This window comes from Homo sapiens, chromosome 5 (genome assembly GCF_000001405.40).
Source record: "Homo sapiens chromosome 5, GRCh38.p14 Primary Assembly".
In the NCBI taxonomy this organism is placed as follows: Eukaryota; Metazoa; Chordata; class Mammalia; order Primates; family Hominidae; genus Homo; species Homo sapiens.
In genome coordinates this window covers 80,945,994-80,963,603 of record NC_000005.10, presented here as the reverse complement: position 1 = coordinate 80,963,603, position 17,610 = coordinate 80,945,994, and the positions used below count along the sequence as shown (strand labels likewise).

General features: G+C 43.7%; 1 protein-coding gene and 1 long non-coding RNA gene across 4 annotated transcripts in view, besides 2 other annotated features; one reads left to right on the top strand and one right to left on the bottom strand.

Annotated features, from left to right (window-relative positions):
- Nucleotides 1-3,241, bottom strand: part of RASGRF2 (Ras protein specific guanine nucleotide releasing factor 2) — a 269,800-nt gene extending 266,559 nt beyond the window's left edge. For all 3 annotated transcript variants that reach the window (NM_006909.3, XM_005248565.2, XM_017009683.2), the window contains exon 1: nucleotides 2,578-3,241. In NM_006909.3, coding sequence (NP_008840.1) covers nucleotides 2,578-2,865 — 288 coding nt within the window. In that variant the 5' untranslated portion in view covers nucleotides 2,866-3,241. The remainder of the gene's footprint in view (nucleotides 1-2,577) is intronic.
- Nucleotides 2,417-3,138: an enhancer, noted in NCBI's record as "H3K27ac hESC enhancer chr5:80256285-80257006 (GRCh37/hg19 assembly coordinates)". NCBI's record gives its function as "activates a minimal SCP1, AML or CMV promoter by ChIP-STARR-seq in naive H9 embryonic stem cells {active_cell/tissue: H9 hESC(naive)}" and the evidence as "EXISTENCE:reporter gene assay evidence [ECO:0000049][PMID:30033119]".
- On the top strand, nucleotides 2,697-15,911 carry RASGRF2-AS1 (RASGRF2 antisense RNA 1). Its single transcript, NR_105015.1, has 4 exons — nucleotides 2,697-2,823; nucleotides 12,124-12,157; nucleotides 15,200-15,275; nucleotides 15,610-15,911. It is a non-coding gene; the product is annotated as an RASGRF2 antisense RNA 1 (long non-coding RNA).
- Nucleotides 6,229-6,749: an enhancer, noted in NCBI's record as "OCT4-NANOG-H3K27ac hESC enhancer chr5:80252674-80253194 (GRCh37/hg19 assembly coordinates)". NCBI's record gives its function as "activates a minimal SCP1, AML or CMV promoter by ChIP-STARR-seq in primed H9 embryonic stem cells {active_cell/tissue: H9 hESC(primed)}" and the evidence as "EXISTENCE:reporter gene assay evidence [ECO:0000049][PMID:30033119]".
- Nucleotides 15,912-17,610: the final 1,699 nt, after the last annotated feature.

Below are 17,610 nucleotides of genomic sequence, written 5' to 3'. Positions count from 1 at the left end.
AAATGGTCTTTCACATTCTCCACACTGCAAAAAGCTCACCCTGTCTGTCATAACCTTAGAAATAGAAGATGCCATTATTGAAAGGTAATTGGAAACCAACTTAGCCAAATTCTTAATTTTTACATATTAGGAAACAGAGATTTCATTAACAGAAAAAAAGAGAAAAGATTAAGAGATGTGCTTAAAGAAATAACACGGAAACTTGGTGAAGAAAAATGACTCTGCCTCACTAAGTCCTGTTTCAAGCCCTAACCTTCAACTGTGTTGATAGTGTTGAGGGAGATATTGATATGGAAAGCTCCAGAAGCATATAAGGAGAAAGAAGCAAACCTTGGGATGTGCTCATCTCCTCACATCCTCCACAGATCCTTCGTGTCTCAGTGTCTGGATGATCTAAGCACCTCAGCAACATAAATTAGCTGAGAGGTAACCAACTGGATAAACTGTAGATTTAAGGTAGAATGTTTCTCCTTGTTTCTTATTTTCACAGTTTCTTCTTAATTATTCAAACACACCCAGTTGGCAGTGCCAGAGAAAAGCATCAGTGGGCTAAGCTAACCCAACTCACAGCAGCACATCTAATGCAAGACAAAATGTGGAAGGTTTCCCAGCCCAACTCCTAATCCATTCTGGAATGCTTGCTTCTCTACATCTCAGATTTATCTACAAACACCAAAGATTCTAATTTCTAACCTCTTGAAGATGAATAAAATGACTGAGAAATACTCATCATTTGCATGGTCATAAAAAGGGAAAACAATTTTTTCATTAGATGGCCTATTTAGGACAACCATTAGAAAGTGGCATGAAAGTCAAACTATTTGGAAGTTATGTTTCCTTATTAAAGTGCAAGAAAGAAAACAGTCTTGAAGATTACAGTCCAGATATTTTCCAAGTAGAAAAATGTTGGTTTCCATATAACATTAGCAAGTCAGAGAGCCATATGAATTGTAACAGGTAACAACTCCCCACCCCTAACTGAAAAAAAAAAAATCAAAAGTGGTTATCTTATATTAATATAAATATGAAGAAAACAAATAATTTGAGATTAAGTAAATGATATATATCCTGAGTAATTTAAAATACCCTATTCTACTTTAGACATAATAACATTTAGAAACCTATTCATTTTGGTTCCTGCGGGGCCTTGGAACACATACCTTAAAAAAAATCCCACCAATAGAATGTTACTTATATATATTCCTGAAAAAAAATGTTTCCTCAAAACTCTTCTCCCAATTTAAATTCTAAAATGCATGACTTGAAATTTATGTTTATATTTCTAGTATCTATATCTATAAAGTTGGAAATCAGTTTTTCAAATGACTCTGAACAAGCCCTCAGAAACTAAAGAGCATATTTAAACTTTCAGATTTATAAGTGTTATAACAAGTTTAATCACTTAAGTCTGTTAATGATTTATAGTGAAAACAACTCAAACTTCCGGTCGGTCTAGTTTTAACTCCTCTTAATTTTACACATTGTTTTATGAGCCCCAAAGGGTTAGGTAGGCATCTTACGGATCACTCCATTGCTAGCACCTCCCACAGCCTCTGTGGTGTGCGGTAGATGCTGTCTGATCTGAACTCACATGGAAAATTCAGCTGCGAATATTTTTACGCAACAGCAAAAACAATCAGCCTTTTTCATATCAAGGTGGGGATTGAGAAGCTAAATGAGAACATTAGGGGCATAAAATTAGTCTGCTTTAACTTTAATAACCAAACGGTGATTGGAAACATACAAACTTTGTGTTTGCAGGAATGAGGGGCTGGGATCACTAAGACTTAAAGGGTTTTTCTCCCCCACCCCGCGACCATGAGCACACAGCAAAACTAATAAAATTATGACCCAGAATTAAAAGGTCGCATTCATTTTCAAAGCATTCATTTAAAAGTACAGAAGCGTTCTTTAAAAATGCCCACATTTTTAAACATAGCAAGAATGTGGCTACCAAATATTAATCCTGAGGAATATGAATACACATTTACCTTCATAATTACACCCAGCAGGTCAAATGTTAGCAAGGCCAACTGACCGAAATCACAAAGACTGATTGAAAATGACCAACAGAAAGTGTCTGTCCGGCTTGGGAGCCCCGCTTGTTCCCAGCCCAACCAGTGGTCAAACATCTGCAGGCAAAGAAATCTACACGCGCCAGCCGGGTATGGCAGAAATCAAACTTTTCCAAATAAGTTAGTTCCGTCTTGCCAATCTACACCCAACAGGTGTCAATACATGTCACCAGACAAAAATCTGGCGAGCCAGGTCTAGAGAAGCAATAGATGGTTGGCAGAGAAGCTGAAACGACTCGACCTCTACCAGGGTAATGAAAGCAAGTCGGGCCACTATTCTGACTGATCACTTGGCAGTGGGGTGGAGGGGTATGGAGATGGGAGAATCCCTGGATGAAGATCGGAAGGAGCGTGGAGATGTCCCGCCACTGGTGACGCGGGGGGATTTCGGAGCATAGTCCCCGCACTCTTTCACGACCCCCGACCCCTGATCCCCGGATTAGGACGGCAAGGGAGTGCGGCGATCAAGGCTGGGAGACCGCGGAGAGAAGGCGCGCGGTACCTGCTTGTCCAGCGCGTCTCGGACGCCTCCCTGCCCGGCGCCGGCCCTGGGTGGCGCGGGCGTTCGTTCGCAGCTGCAGCCCTCCAGGAGGTACATGCCCGCCGGGCGGCAGCTCTGCTCGCCCTCGAAGTAGAAGAGCACATTCTGGTAGAGGGCGAACCACTTCTCGTGCCAGCGGCTCGCCTCGGCCGTCTTCTTACTCAGGAAGCCGCGCTTGGTGCCCTCCTTGCGCGCCAGAAAGGCCAGGTACAGGGCGTGCCCCTCGTTGTAGCGCACGCTCTTCTGCATGGTGCGGGTGCGGAGGGCTCACGGGTGGCCGCCGGTCTCACCCCTGCCTCGCGGCCATGGCCCAGCTGGCTCCCTCGAGGGCGCGACCGCTCAGGTCCCGGCCGGCGAAGGGCGCCCCCTTTCCCCACGCCGCGCGCAGGGCACCCCGCCCGCTTTCGGGAGGCCGCGGCGCGCGGTGGCAGGGGCGCGGGCTGGGGCCGAGGCACGCTCTCCGCCCTAACCACCACCCTCCCGGCCGAGCCCCCGGAGCCCCCCAAGCCCCCAACGCCCGCGTGGAGCGCGGCCCCGCGAGGGCGCCCGAGCCGGCCGCCGCTTCGCCCAAAGTTGCGGGAGCCGAGCCCCCGCGGCGGGCTGGGGCGGCAGCCGGGGAAGGACTGTCCTCGGGCAACGCGCTCCGGGAGACAGAAGGTAAAACGTCACGTGGGAGCTCAGCTGTAATCGGCTTGGAGACCGATTTAAAGGGCAAAGTCGGCGCGGCGCCGGCGGTGGCGCAGCCCGCTTGCCCCGGCTCGCGTCCCTCCCTCGCCCGCCCCGGCCCGGGCCGCTGCCTCTGCTCGGGCGCCCGCCGGGATGGGGCGGATCAGGGAGGTGGAGGCGCCCGGCCGCACCACACACCCGCTCACACGCGCTCGCACACTCGCGCACAACGCGCGCACACACACACGCACACCCACACACACGCAGACCAGTACATTCACCCAGATCCACAATGCACACACTCAGACGCACAAAAATACACTCACAAATGCACACAAACACAATGCGCGCACATATGCACAAAAACACACGCGCACACACTCATGACACACAAATACACATTCTCACAACGCTCACACTCAACACACAGTCACAACGCACAAATGCATATAGACAAATACACCCACAATGTGCGTTCCCGCGCACAAAAATAAAACCCACATTCAGATACACACTTAAGGAGCTACACACATGCACGCAGTGATATGCTCACTTACACACACATTCACACACAACCCACACATTCACTCAAACCCACATTCAAACATACATTCATACACACATTACACTCATACAGTCACACAAACAGCACACATATACTCACACGTTCACAATCATACAGACTCATAAGCAGATAATCAAACACACACACAGATGAACACACATGTACATTCACAAATTCATCCAAAAATACACACAAAGCACTCACACACGTATTCGCACGAATCCACACACTTTCACAAACCCACTCACACATACACACACACTCACATGCCACATCCATAAGTACGTTCCCATGGCAGTAGGTAGAGTCACAGAGTGGCTTTGCATAGCCCGCATCCTTGGCTTTTCTGCTTGTACCTGCATTGTAGTATTTAAAACTGCCGGTAAAGGTTAAGGAGAGTGGCCCAAGTGTTCCCGGAAAGGCATCAGATGCCGAAGTTCTTTCGGAATGCCTGTTATTTCACAGTGGTAAGATGCTAAATTTTAAGTGCCGAGTTTTCAACCTGGAAAAAAATACCCAAATAAGGGACACTTTGCTGCCCAGGGCAGAATCCAACCCCAAAGGCCAGCTGTCACAGGCTCATCGTTTGTAGGACTGGATTCATTTGATTAACAAATCTGACAGGTACAACCAGAAAACCAAGAGCCACCCCCCCGCCCCAACCCCATGCTGTAAAAATGTAAGTGGAAAAGAAATAATGTAGCCAGCAGCTGTGAGAGAAAGCCAGTGAAACCCCCGGGGAGGGCCTATATTTGATTCTGCTATACACATTTTTTATTTTCCCCAGTCATTTATCACTAAAACGGAGTGCCATCATAAAATGTTTATTGTTAAAAGTAAATAATAATGCTTTTCTGGGTGATGAGTCTACGACAATACACCTGTCTTGTACTGCCAGTTGTGTGTTCATGAATTGGTAGCCCCAGGGGTTCTGCCTGTTTCATAAGTGCTGTTTCTGCAGAATATTTTAACTCTGCCTCACTGAGCAGCTGAGTGGGGTTTTTTTTTCCTTTTACCTTTTTAAAAAATTTTCACTTTTAACAAGTATATAGTAGGGAAATTGCCATTTTGAAATTACAGCGTGAGAACAGTGGTCATTTCTCTTTACGTTTTTAAAAATATCTAAAGGACAGTGCTGTGCTAAATTGGGTTTAACCCAGCTGGAAGTTTGCATTGTTCTTCAGAGAAGACACAAGTACAGAGACAGTAAGTAAATGCAGGCAACATTTTGGAGCCAGATTCTAGATGCAGAGGAGCTGGTGATTGCCTCAGGAGGCCTTTTATTTCTTTCTCTGTGGTCCAATCCCAGCTGTGAGAACCGTAAGTGAGTAGACACCTGTGTGGTTGATAAGCTCCATTTTTTTAGTAGAAACCAGTAAGAGTGTGAAATCAGCACAAAAACTATTTTGCCATGAGTAGTCAAACCTTCTAACGCACTTGAGTTTTTTCAGATGTGAAAGATTCTCTTCTTCAATAAGCAATGTCTCAGTTACCATCTCTGTCTCCTTAAATGTGCTTTTCATTTGAACCACATGAAATATTCACAACCTCTTGTCTGACATCACTTCCTACCACGGAAGGTTATGTGGCCCTTATATGCCACCCCATCTGCTCTGCCCCTGGACAATGAGAGAAAGGAGTGCTTGTTTCCTGCAAAATTTGGCTGGTGATTACCGTGGGTTTTGATTATGGAAATTCACTGCAAGAACCATTTATTGATCACTAGTTTATGTCCTCAACACTATATTTAGGTGATGTAGAGCATATAGAGAAAAAGCATTGCCTGTGTTCCTGGTGTGCTCAGTGTAAGAGGAAGAGAATTTCTTTCTTTCTTCTTTTCTTTCCCTTCCTCCCTCCCTCTCTCTCTCTCTCTCTCTCTCTCTCTCTCTCTCTGTCTCTTTCTCTCTCTCTTTCTTTCTTTTTTTCTTTAGAGAGAGGTTCTTCCTCTGTTGCCCAGGCTGAAGTCATAGCTCACTGCAGCCTCAAACTCCTGGGCTCCAGCAATCCTCCTGCCTCAGCCTCCAGCGTAGCTAAGACTATGGGTGTGCACTACCACACCTGGTTAGGTTTTGTTTACTTTTTGTAGAGACAGAGGTCTCACCATGTTACCCAGGCTGGTCTCAAACTCCTGGTCTCAAGTAACCCTCCTGCCTTGGCCTCCCAAAGTCCTGGGATTGTAAGTACGACACCACCCAGCCAGGAAGAAGATTAATGTTTAGGTGCTTCTTCTCACCTGTCTGTTTCTCAAGTGCCGAGCTATCTCTGTAATCCCTGTAGCACCCAGTAGGAGAGTTTATATGCAGTAGGCATACAAGTTTTTCAGACAATTATTTTCTAAATTAATTTCTTATTTGGTCATTGAATTGTTAAAGAGGGCATAAGCATTTGCAAATATTAGATCATTCTGCAAGATTGTAAGAGATGAAAACAACCAGACATTCCTGGACAGCCTAGAGAAGCTATCTCTATTAGGTGTCTGATGGGCACCTGGGGGCCTTTAGTCTCCATTCATATGGAAACCACATCCCTGGAATGGTGCCATCCTGAAACACAAAGGATCAGGAGTTTATGTAAATAAGAATGCTTTCCCCCAGCTGATCAAATAGATTGCCAAAAAGAGACTGCGTTCCAAGTGGATGGGAACAAGCTTCTCTGAATTCATTGTTTTTCCTTCTTGCATTGCGTGGATTCTTTCTTGAGCGGGCCAGTTTAAAAAAATTTTTTATGGGCAACAAAGCATATGATCACAGTGCAAGTGGCCTCTTTCCCCTTTTCTAGATAAGTTAAGAGGGGAAAAATAGCAATGAGCTGTCATACCTGGAAACTCTACTAAATAGAGAGGGAGACATTATTCAGATAATTTGATGAGAAAAGGAAGGAAGGGAGGGAAGGAGGGAAAGAGGAAAGAAAGGACGGAAGGAGGGAGGAAGGAAAGGTGGGAGGGGAAATTTTATCTGAATTGTCTAAAGCTTTGAAGTTTAGGGGAGTGGGGAGTGCACAACCTAACCTACAGCTTTTCAAAATCCCTAACTCATGCCTTAGTATTCAGATGCACAAGGTAGGTTTTAATTTTTTTTTTCTTTCTCCTAAACTCTGTTTTGTTAGTAAAATGTACATGGGCTGCATGAGTTTCTGCAAGGACTTTTCCCTGTGGTTTCTATAATTCAGAAATGCATCCGCACTGGGTTCTTGGAGGAAGATTATGTCAAGCAAAGCTGTCAGAGGCATTTGAACCAAAGCAACTCCATCTTAAATAGGAGCCGGGTAAAATGAGGCTGAAACCTACTGGGCTGCATTCCCAGACGGTTAAGGCATTCTAAGTCACGGGATGAGATAGGAGGTCAGCACAAAATACAGGTCACAAAGACCTTGCTGGTAAAACAGCTTGCAGTAAAGGAGCCACCAAAACCAAAATGGCAACGAGAGTGACTTTGGTCGTCCTCACTGCTACGCTCCCACCAGCACCATGACAGTTTACAAATGCCATGGCAATGTCAGGAAGTTACCCAGTGTGGTCTAAAAAGGGGAGGCATAAATAATCCACCCCTTGTTTAGCGTGTCATCAAAAAATAACCATAAAAATGGGCAACTAGCAGCCCTCGGGACTGCTCCGTCTATGGAGTAGCCATTCTTTTATTCCTTTATTTTCTTAAACTTGCTTTCACTTTGCACTTCGGACTCGCCCTGAATTCTTTCTTGTGAGAGATCCAAGAATCCTTTCTTGGGGTCTGGATTGGGACCGCTTTCCTGTAACAAAGCCACAGTATTGCCAAGATCCTTTTCTTAGCCTGACAGAAGATCACTTGGGGAATTGTCATTTTGATGGCTTGTAGATGTGGAGAATAATATATTTAATAATGCAGACTCACCAAGAATCCCAGACTGTTTCTACAGGATAGAGTGCTACCAGTTCTGGCACATATGTGATTCTGTATCATCTCTTGATACTTAATTAGTAAAGCCAGGTTCTTCCCCAAGTAGGTAAAACCCAAAAGGATTATTCCTTCCTTGTTTCCAGTATTATTTTGACCAAAAAGAATTCCTTATTTACGAAATACTAGAATGAACTACTTAGAGCTAATAAAACCATTTATCTGGTGTCCTTATGATATTTCAACTAACTTAATGTTCGAGATACCTAAAGCTTGTCCTTCAAACACCGAAGATAAATGAGCTCTACATCTCTACAGTCTAAACAGTGAAGAAAAGTTAGCATCTTCTTGATTTAAGGTCACTATTCTAAATACAATGTGTCTAGGAGCTAGACCACAGCTATTGCTAGCCTCTACTCTTTTATGCAAATTAGAAAAAGGCACACCCTCTGGGAGGATGAATTAGAGAGAGCCTTGAGGTGCACACAGCCTTGAGAACATGATCCTGATGAGTGGATGACATGACACCTTCATGTGACTAAAAGGTGCCCCTCCCCCTGGATGGCTACAGCTCTGTGCAGGGAGCCCTGTGCAGTGACCAACCTGTGCAACTGAACACAACAGCTTGTGCTGTGTGCCTCTCCATGGGTGGCCACGAACAGCTGTGCCTTTAGAGTTTCTATAGCTGTTCCACAAACCCAACCGCATCCTTCACCCTTTCTCCATCCTAACCTTCTAATTGTCATCTTCTGGTTTCTTGAAGACTTAGGCTGTGAAGCTTTTAAGAACTTTGTGAAACAAAATATAACTTTATTAAACATAAAAATGAGAAGATCTTGGAGAGTCCTGTAGAGAGTGAAGTGTGTAATCTAGCTAGGAATACACGGGAATTGTTTTGACCGCTAGAGATGATTTCCTTTTGGCTTCTCAGCAATGCTCTGAACATGTAAGGTCTGACTACACGAATGTAATTATTCACATTATATACAGTAGTATAAATTATGCATGCATTACTTTTATACTGTAGTGTCACCACAAAAAGTATAGGTTATGATATACAAAGAATTTTAGAGACCCAAGAAAATACTCATGATTTAGTGGTAGCAAAAACCCCTTTCTATTCCCCTGCTTCCCTTTATAGCAAAACTTGCCCTTTATAACATCTCTCTACACACTGGGTCTACTTCCTTCTCCCCATTTTCTCCTGAGCTACTTCATTCAGTCTTTTCATCCCCACCACCCCACTGAAACAATCCCCACAGTCACGGTCACCTGCAGTCCCCACAATGCCAAGCTCGGTGGTCAGTTTCCAGTCTGCACATTGACATCGCAGCAGCGTTTGATACAGCTGAACACTCCCTCTTTCTTGAAACAGTCTTCTCACTTAGCTTCTGGGACACCACACTCTCCAGCCCCTTCCTGATTCTCCTGCTGTGTCTTCATTTTCTCATGGCTGTCCCCCTCCTCTTCGCAGCCTCTGAATAGTATTTCACCCCGGGGCCCTCTCCTGGGACGTCTTCTCTTCTTTATCTACATCATTTTATCCACTCCGTGGCTTTAAATAAGTCTCTCCACCCCTCTCCTTTTCTGAAATGCAGACCTGTGTGCTGCCTACTCAACATCTCCTCTTGACTATCTAGTAGGCATCTCAAACTCAACGTGTTCAAGACTGAATTTCCCTGCAAAAAAACAACCGTTCATCCCATAGTCTTCCTCATCTCAGTATATGGCAACCCCATCCTTCCTTAAGTCAAAAATTTGAAGTCATCTATGAATCTTTTAATCTTCTCTCACCCCAGTCAGCTCTACCTTCAAAGCATATAGTAAATTAAACAATTTCTGACAAGCCCCATTGCTACCCCCATCCAGCCCATCGCCACTTCTCACCTGGACTACTGGAGTAATCTCCCAGCCGTCTCCCTGCATTCACTCTTACTCTCCTACTGCCTGTTCCCCATTGAGCAGCCAATGAGTACCTTGAAAACATAAATCACTATCGTGCCTCTTCTCTGCTCAACACCTTCCGACATCTTCCCATTGTACTGGAGTAAAACCCTATCCCTTTTTCTGCGTGACCCTATCCTCCTTTTCCTCTGTAGCACCTGTTGCTCCCTGACATTCTAGTATGTACGCTTAATTGCTTGATAGCTTCTGTCTCCCTCACTGTTATATCCTCAGCACCTAGAACATTCCTGAATATTACTCATAGTAAGACTCCATGAACATCATCTGTTGAATAAATGCTAGAAAACAATGACACCCTGTCAATTCAAGAAACTTCCTTTTTTTTTTTTTTTTTTTTGAGAGAGTCTTGTCCTGTCGCCCAGGCTGGAGTGCACTGGCACGACCTTGGCTCACCACAACCTCTACCTCCTGGGTTCAAGTGATTCTCCTGCCTCAGCCTCCTGAGTAGCTGGGATTACAGGTGTGTGCCATAATTTTTGTATTTTTAGTACAGACAGGGCTTCACCACATTGGTCAGGCTGGTATCAAACTCCTGACCTCGTGATCCGCCTGCCTCTGCCTCTCAAAGTGCTGGGATTATAGGCGTGAGCCACTGTGCCTGGCCAATTCAAGAAACTTCTTTTCCACATCAAACATTTGAACCTTAAATACTTTCCCGGACCAGCCCTTATACTTTCTAACCTGCTCCTTGACTTTCTTTTATCCCTTTTTCTCATGGAATTTTACAATCCGCCCCCTCCCCAAGTTCAGCCTCTGGAGGAATTTAGAGCTTCCCTCAGAGCTCCTTGTGATTCTAGAGTGTGATGGAGACTGTGAAGTGCTGCTACGGTCTCCTCCTTCAGAATGAGACACTTATTCACCCTCCTCACCTCATTATTCCACGCTCTACTACTAGAAGTTCTACTGGCAGTCAGCCCTCTCTGTGATTGTTCTCCGCAGAAGACAGCCACCTCGCCAAGATCGTGTCTCCCCTTTCTGAGGAAGCCCAGAGCTGATGACTGGCCATATGGATATAAAACGCACAACCCCCTCAGGGGAACTCCGACTCGGGCATCTCTGAAGGACTATGGGGTCCAGTGCAGCACAGAGTGGGACATTACTTTCTGCTGGGAAGACCCACTTCCCAATCAAGGGAGCATTTGGTCTGAGTCCTGAAGGGTGGTTGGTTAAGTGGCAAATACGCAGAGCTGGAGAATGAAGGATTTTTTTTTTTAATACTTTAAGTTCTAGGATACACGCGCACAATGTGCAGGTTTGTTACATATGTATACATGTGCCATGTTGGTTTGCTGCACCCATCAACTCATCATTTACATTAGGTATTTCTCCTAATGCTATCCCTCCCCCAGGCCCCCACCCCCTAACGGCCCCCAATGTGTGATGTTCCCTGCCTTGTGTCCAAGTGATCTCATTGTTCAATTCCCACCTATGAGTGAGAACATGCAGCGTTTGGTTTTCTGTCCTTGTGATAGTTTGCTGAGAATGATGGTTTCCAGCTTCATCCACGTCCCTGCAAAGGACATGAACTCATCCTTTTTTATGGCTGCATAGTATTCTATGGTGTATATGTGCCATATTTTCTTAATCCAGTCTGTCATTGATGGACATTTGCATTGGTTCCAAGTCTTTGCTATTGTGAACAGTGCTGCAGTGAACATACGTGTGCATGTGTCTTTGTAGTAGCATGATTTATAATCCTTTGGGTATATACCCAGTAATGGGATAGCTGGGTCAAATGGTAATTCTAGTTCTAGATCCTTGAGGAATCGCCACACTGTCTTCCACAATGGTTGAACTAATTTACACTCCCACCAACAGTGTAAAAGCGTTCCTATTTGGGGAATGAAGGATTTTTAACTAAGGAAGCTATGAGAATGAAAGACCAATAACAGAAAAGTACAGGGTAGAGGAAATGTGGGAGTTTATCGTGGTTTGAGAGAAGAAAGTATGATGGGGTATGATGAGAGACGAAGGCATAAATGGAGGTAGAGGTCAGATCACGGTGGCCTGCAAGGTCCTATATACAAGTAGTCAAAAGGGCACGACAGGTTTTTGAGTAGGGAAGCATAGTGGCCTTGTATCGTCTTGCACCCCTTCCTTTTTCCCCTTCTGGCCACAGTCCTGCCCTTCAGACTGTCTGGTTCAAAATGGAGCTGCCACCTTTTTACAGGCCCCACCTTCCTGGTCACAGTGATTGGCCTGGGAGTGGGTGCCTGATTTGGCTCGATCAAAATGAGCTGTTTCCTGGGACATTTGAACTAAAGACCTGCAAGATCTAGTCTCAGTTCGTCTCAAAGCTGCATGTTGTCCAGTGTAACCATAGGAACTGCCGAGATTGTACGAGATCATGGGCTCTGGAATCAGACAGTGTGAATTCCAATCCCTGCTCTATTACATATCCATTATGAAACACTGAACAAACCACTTAATCTCTTACAGGCTCAGCTTTCTCATCACTGAACTGGAGATACAGGTAATAGTAATATCTACCCCTGGAGGTATTTTTAAATACTTCCACAGTACCTGACACGTGGTAAGTTTTAACAATGCTGATGGAGGAAACATTTGGATGTTTCCAGCCAAATTGGAGGAATCAACGAGTCTTGTCTACTGATTAGATATAGAGGTCGGAAGATGGAGGATGGAGGTGAAGCCAAGATGGCTCTAGGTATCTGGCCTGAGCAAGAGAACTGACAACAGTTGGTATTTGGGTTTGACTTGAAGGCAACTGTGGGCCATCTAGATGGAGAGAGGTACAGTGGCATCTTGGAATTTCTAAAATAAAATACATATGTAATATCTTTTAAAAGTCACCTGCCTGGAAATGGGGACAAATCCTTTACTTGGTGATTTATGTACATTTGATTGTCACATCCACCTCACAAAGCAGGTATTATTATCATGCCCATTTTATAGAAGAAAAACAGGTTCAGAGAAGGTAAGTAACATTCCCAAATGGTAGAGCTTGTGAGTCTCAGAGGCAGGATTTGAACCCGGGCCTGTCTGACCGGAGACCCATCCTCTTTATTATAGAGTGTTTCTCCTGTGTTGCCTGGAAGTGTGAGTTAAAGCTGAGAGCATGTGCCACGTGCTCCAGCCCTAACTCTTGTCATTTATTATATTGGACAAATTACTTATTTATGCCTCAGTTTTGATGTTAGAAGTGGAGGTAATAATAGGACTTTCTTCCTAGGAGTTCATGAAAATTTAATAGTTAATATGTCCAGAGTGCATAGAACATGGTCTATCACATACTAATGACATCATTAAATGGGACAGGATGGAGCCTTATTTATTTATTTATTTAATTTGTGAGACAAGGTCTCACTCTGTTGCCCACGCTGGAGTACAGTGGCACAGTCTTGGCTCACTGCAGCCTCGACCTTCCCCAGGCTCAAGTGATCCTCCCACCTCAGCCTCCTGAGTAGCTGGGACTACAGGCAAGCACCACCATGCCTGGCTAATTTTTGTACTTTTTGTAAACACAGGGTTTTGCCATGTTGTCCAGGCTGGTCTCAAGCTCCTGGGCTCAAGCAATCTGCCCACCTCGGCCTCCCAAAGTGTTGGGATTACAGGAGTGAGCCACCACATCTGGCCCAGGGTGGGACTTTAAACAGAAAAAGGACGTGAGCATGGAGGTCTGGCCTGAGCAGGAGTGAACAATGCTACATTGAGGAGAGAACATTAAAGGAGACCCAGCTCTTGGAGTGAGGCCTTAAGCTTCGGGAGTTGAAACAATGACCTCCCATTAAAACCCTTGGAGTCACAGGGAGAAACAGATTTCTAGAATTGGACCTAAATCTGTTCATTCTTATTTTTCCTATTTTTGGCTACCTGAAGAAACCAACAATATTTGTTCCCTGGGTATTTTGAAGTTCACCATAAATAATACCACTCGGTTTAGAAAACTGTGTATTCAGTTCCTCAGAGAATGGATTATCTAATTACGTGTCTGTGTTTACATGGAACAGGTAGTCCAATCCACGAAAGTGTGAGAACCATGAGCCTAGTCTCGACCTCAGGAGTTGCCTGAGGAAACTGATGCTAAAAATCCAAGTTGCAAATCAAAATATTAGAAAAATCAAGCCATGCTCTAGACTTGGAAGCCCGACACTTAGATCATCTCTCTCTGAGCAGAGCCAGCTGTTGGCCCCCATAGGTGAGTGTCAGTGACATTCTGACACAGGAAAGGTCAACAGGTGCCCCAGGACCACATCCACCTGGTTAGAAGCTCTGCTGGGTTTGGTCTGGGAGAGACCCGCTGCCTCAAGAGAATTTGCTACAGGGAAAGCCCCCTGGGTAACCATGAAGATGTGATATGTTATGTCAGCATGAAGATAGACGATATTGTAGAAGACCTTATGGGGTTTGTAATGGGGAAAGTGGGCAGGGGAGGTGGGAATAAATATTGCAACAAAGTATCTTTTCTCTCTTGTGTGTGTGGAAATGTGCTCTTTGGGGCATTAAAATCCTACCAGTGTACCCCCATGCCCTTCCAAGATGAGCTCAGGGAGATGTATTTTTGTGTTGCAGTCAACAGGCTGATAATCATCATCATGGATCATGTACTTAAGGCTGAAAAACAGCAGCCTTCTCTATCCCATCATAGAAAGGGCATTTTGAACCACAAAGGCTATGTCCCTGGTAATAAACATCAGAAATAACCATTTGAATAAATTACATGTGTGTAGCATGTGATTTTATAGAATGCTTCCACATGTGTTACTATCTCATTTAATTCCATATTTGTACAAATATGTTATACACTTGGGTAATTCTCTGAATTCTCTGCATTTCACGCATTTGGAGTAGTGGCAGGGATGTAGTGGCACTCAGATGACATCAGGGCCTGTTTGCTTTATGGCAGTAATGAGCATTTGTAGGGCATTTCACAGTTTATGTAGAGCTTAAATACATTTATTAGACCTCATTTGATCCTCACAGTAACTTTATGAGGTAAGATGGATATTGTTCCTATCATAGACTTTAATGCATAATATTAACTGTCTTTGCTTCTCTGCATCTAACTCTAGACTGCAAGTTCCACAAGGATTATAGCTTTTCGATATATTTTTCACTGTTTCATCACAGTGCTCAGTAACTCTTTGTTTAATTGACTTTGATAGTATTATAATTGCCCCCATATTTGTGATCAATGAAGAAACTGAGGCTTTCAGAAGGATTTATCTTGCCCAAGGTCACACAACTGGGAGTGAAAGCCCTTGAATTCACATCTTGTCACTGTCACTGCCTGTCCAAATGGTCACAAATTGAGGCTATCTGGCTGGTAAGAAGTCCCTTTATCCTGCTATAATTTTCTTGGTGGCTCTGTGTCATTATGCTGAACTCAGTTTCCCCTCAAGCAGGTGAAACTGCAGATGGCATAGGGCACATAGCTGCAGACCTTGCTCAGACTGGACTCTGAAAGATTTGGAACCTTAGGCAGAGAGGTGGAAAGGAGTTGGGGAGGCAGTGGCAATGATTTGAAAACTATAACCAATTTTCTCTCTCCTAGGAGTTGGAGACTTGGAATCCCCTTTGGTGCAGAAACTATTCCTTCATGAGAAGAAGTCCTTAAATAGGCTCTTTAGGTAAGAGATATAAGAGATATAAAGCAAATGCCCTGTAGGAAAAAACTGTGAAGGAATCCAAATGTAGGTATTTTGGCTCAGAAACATGTTTCTGTTTTGTAATACACGTTATTATGTGCATAGCTCCTTGATGGAGAGCAATTTATTTTTCTCCTGGCAGGGACTGGTGAAATATATAAATGAAAATACTACTCTTGTTTCTTGGCATGGAGAGGACTATATTTGCCAACCTCCCTGCCATTTGGCCTAAGGGATGTAGGCAGACATGGTGGGCAACTCCTTATTAAAGATCCGGTCATAATCATCTCTGCCGTCTCTTCTTTTTCTTGAAAAGACAGGAGGCCACATGTTGAAGGCAGCAGGGTCACAAGATGGAAGAACCAGGGTCCCAGTATCATCGCTCCCTGCTTCAAGCTGCCAGGGGCAGCCTAACCCACATGGCATTATGACATAAGAAACAAAGTAACTATTGTTTTATTAAATCAATGAGATATTGGGCTTCTTGTTATAGCAACTAGTATAAATTGCCCTGACTGATACATTATGGATTTAGAGTGCACTGTACTACAACTGTTTGTTGTATTTTCAAAATTGTGGTATAACTGACTTACAATAAACTTCATATATTTAAAGAGTACTATTTAATAAGTTCAACATATTCATATATCCATGAAACCATCACCACAATCAAAATAAGACACATTTCCATCAACTGAAAAAGTCTCCTCATTCTCCTTTGAAATCTCTTCTTCCACAACTACAAACCACTGCTCAAGGAAATAAGAGAGGACACAAATGGAAAAACATTCCATACTCATGGATAGGAAGAATCAATATCATGAAAATGGTCATGCTGCCCCAAGATTCAATGCTTCGGGCATTATAGATTCAATGCTATTCCCATCAAACTACCATACATGTTCTTCACAGAATTAGAAAAAAACTACTTTAAAATTCATATAGAATCAAAAAAGAGCCCATATAGCCAAGACAATCCTAAGCAAAAAGAGCAAAGCTGGAGGCATCACACTACCCAACTTCAAACTATACTACAAGGCTACAGTAACCAAAACAACATGGTACTGGTACAAAAACAGACACATAGACCAATGGAACAGAATAGAGATCTCAGAAATAAGACCACACATCTACAACGATCTGATCTTCAACAAACCTGATAAAAACAAGCAATGGGGAAAGGATTTCCTATTTAATAAATGGTGCTGGTAAACCTGGCTAGCCATAGGCAGAAAATTGAAACTGGACCCCTTTCTTACACCTTATACAAAAATTAACTCAAGATGGATTAAACACTTAAACGTAAAACTCCAAACCATAAAAATCCTAGAAGAAAATCTAGGCAATGCCATTCAGGACATAGGCATGGGCAAAGATTTCATGACTACATCAAAAGCAATTGCAACAAAAGCAAAAATTGACAAATGGGATCTAATTAAACTATAGAGCTTCTGAAAGAAACTATCATCAGAGTGAACAGACAACCCTACAGAATGGGAGGAAATTTTTGCCATCTATCCGTCTGTCAAAGGTCTAATACCCAGAATCTACAAGAAACTTAAAGAAATTTACAAGAAAAAACACACAACCCCATTAAAACGTGAGTAAAGGATATGAACAGACACATCTCAAAAGAAGACATGTATGTGGCCAACAAACATGGAAAAAAGGCTCAACATCACTGATCATTAGAGAAATGCAAATCAAAACCACAATGAGATACCATCTCATACGAGTCAGAATGGCAATTATTAAAAAGTCAAGAAATAGATGCTGCCAAGGCTGTGGAGAAATAGGAACACTTTTACACTGTTTGTGGGAATGTAAATTAGTTCAACCACTGTGGAAGACAGTGTGGCAATTCCTCAAAGATCTAGAACCAGAAATACCATTTGACCCAGCAGTCCCATTACTGGGTATACACCCCCCAAAATATCAGTCATTCTGTTATAAAGGTACATGCACGCGTATGTTCATTGCAGCACTATTCACAATAGCAAAGACATGGAATCAACCCAAATGCCCATCAATGATAGACTGGATAAAGAAAATGTGGTACATGTACACCATAGAATACTATGCAACCATAAAAAGGAGTGAGATCATGGCCTTAGCAGGGATATAGGTGGAGCTAGAAGCCATTATCCTCAGCAAACTAACACAGGAACAGAAAATCAAACACCACATGTTCTCATTATAAGTGTGAACTGAACAATGAGAACACACGGATACAGGGAGGAGAACAACACACATTGGGGCCTGTCGGGGAGGCAGAGGGAGGGAGAGCATCAGGATAAATAGCTAATGCATGCAGGGC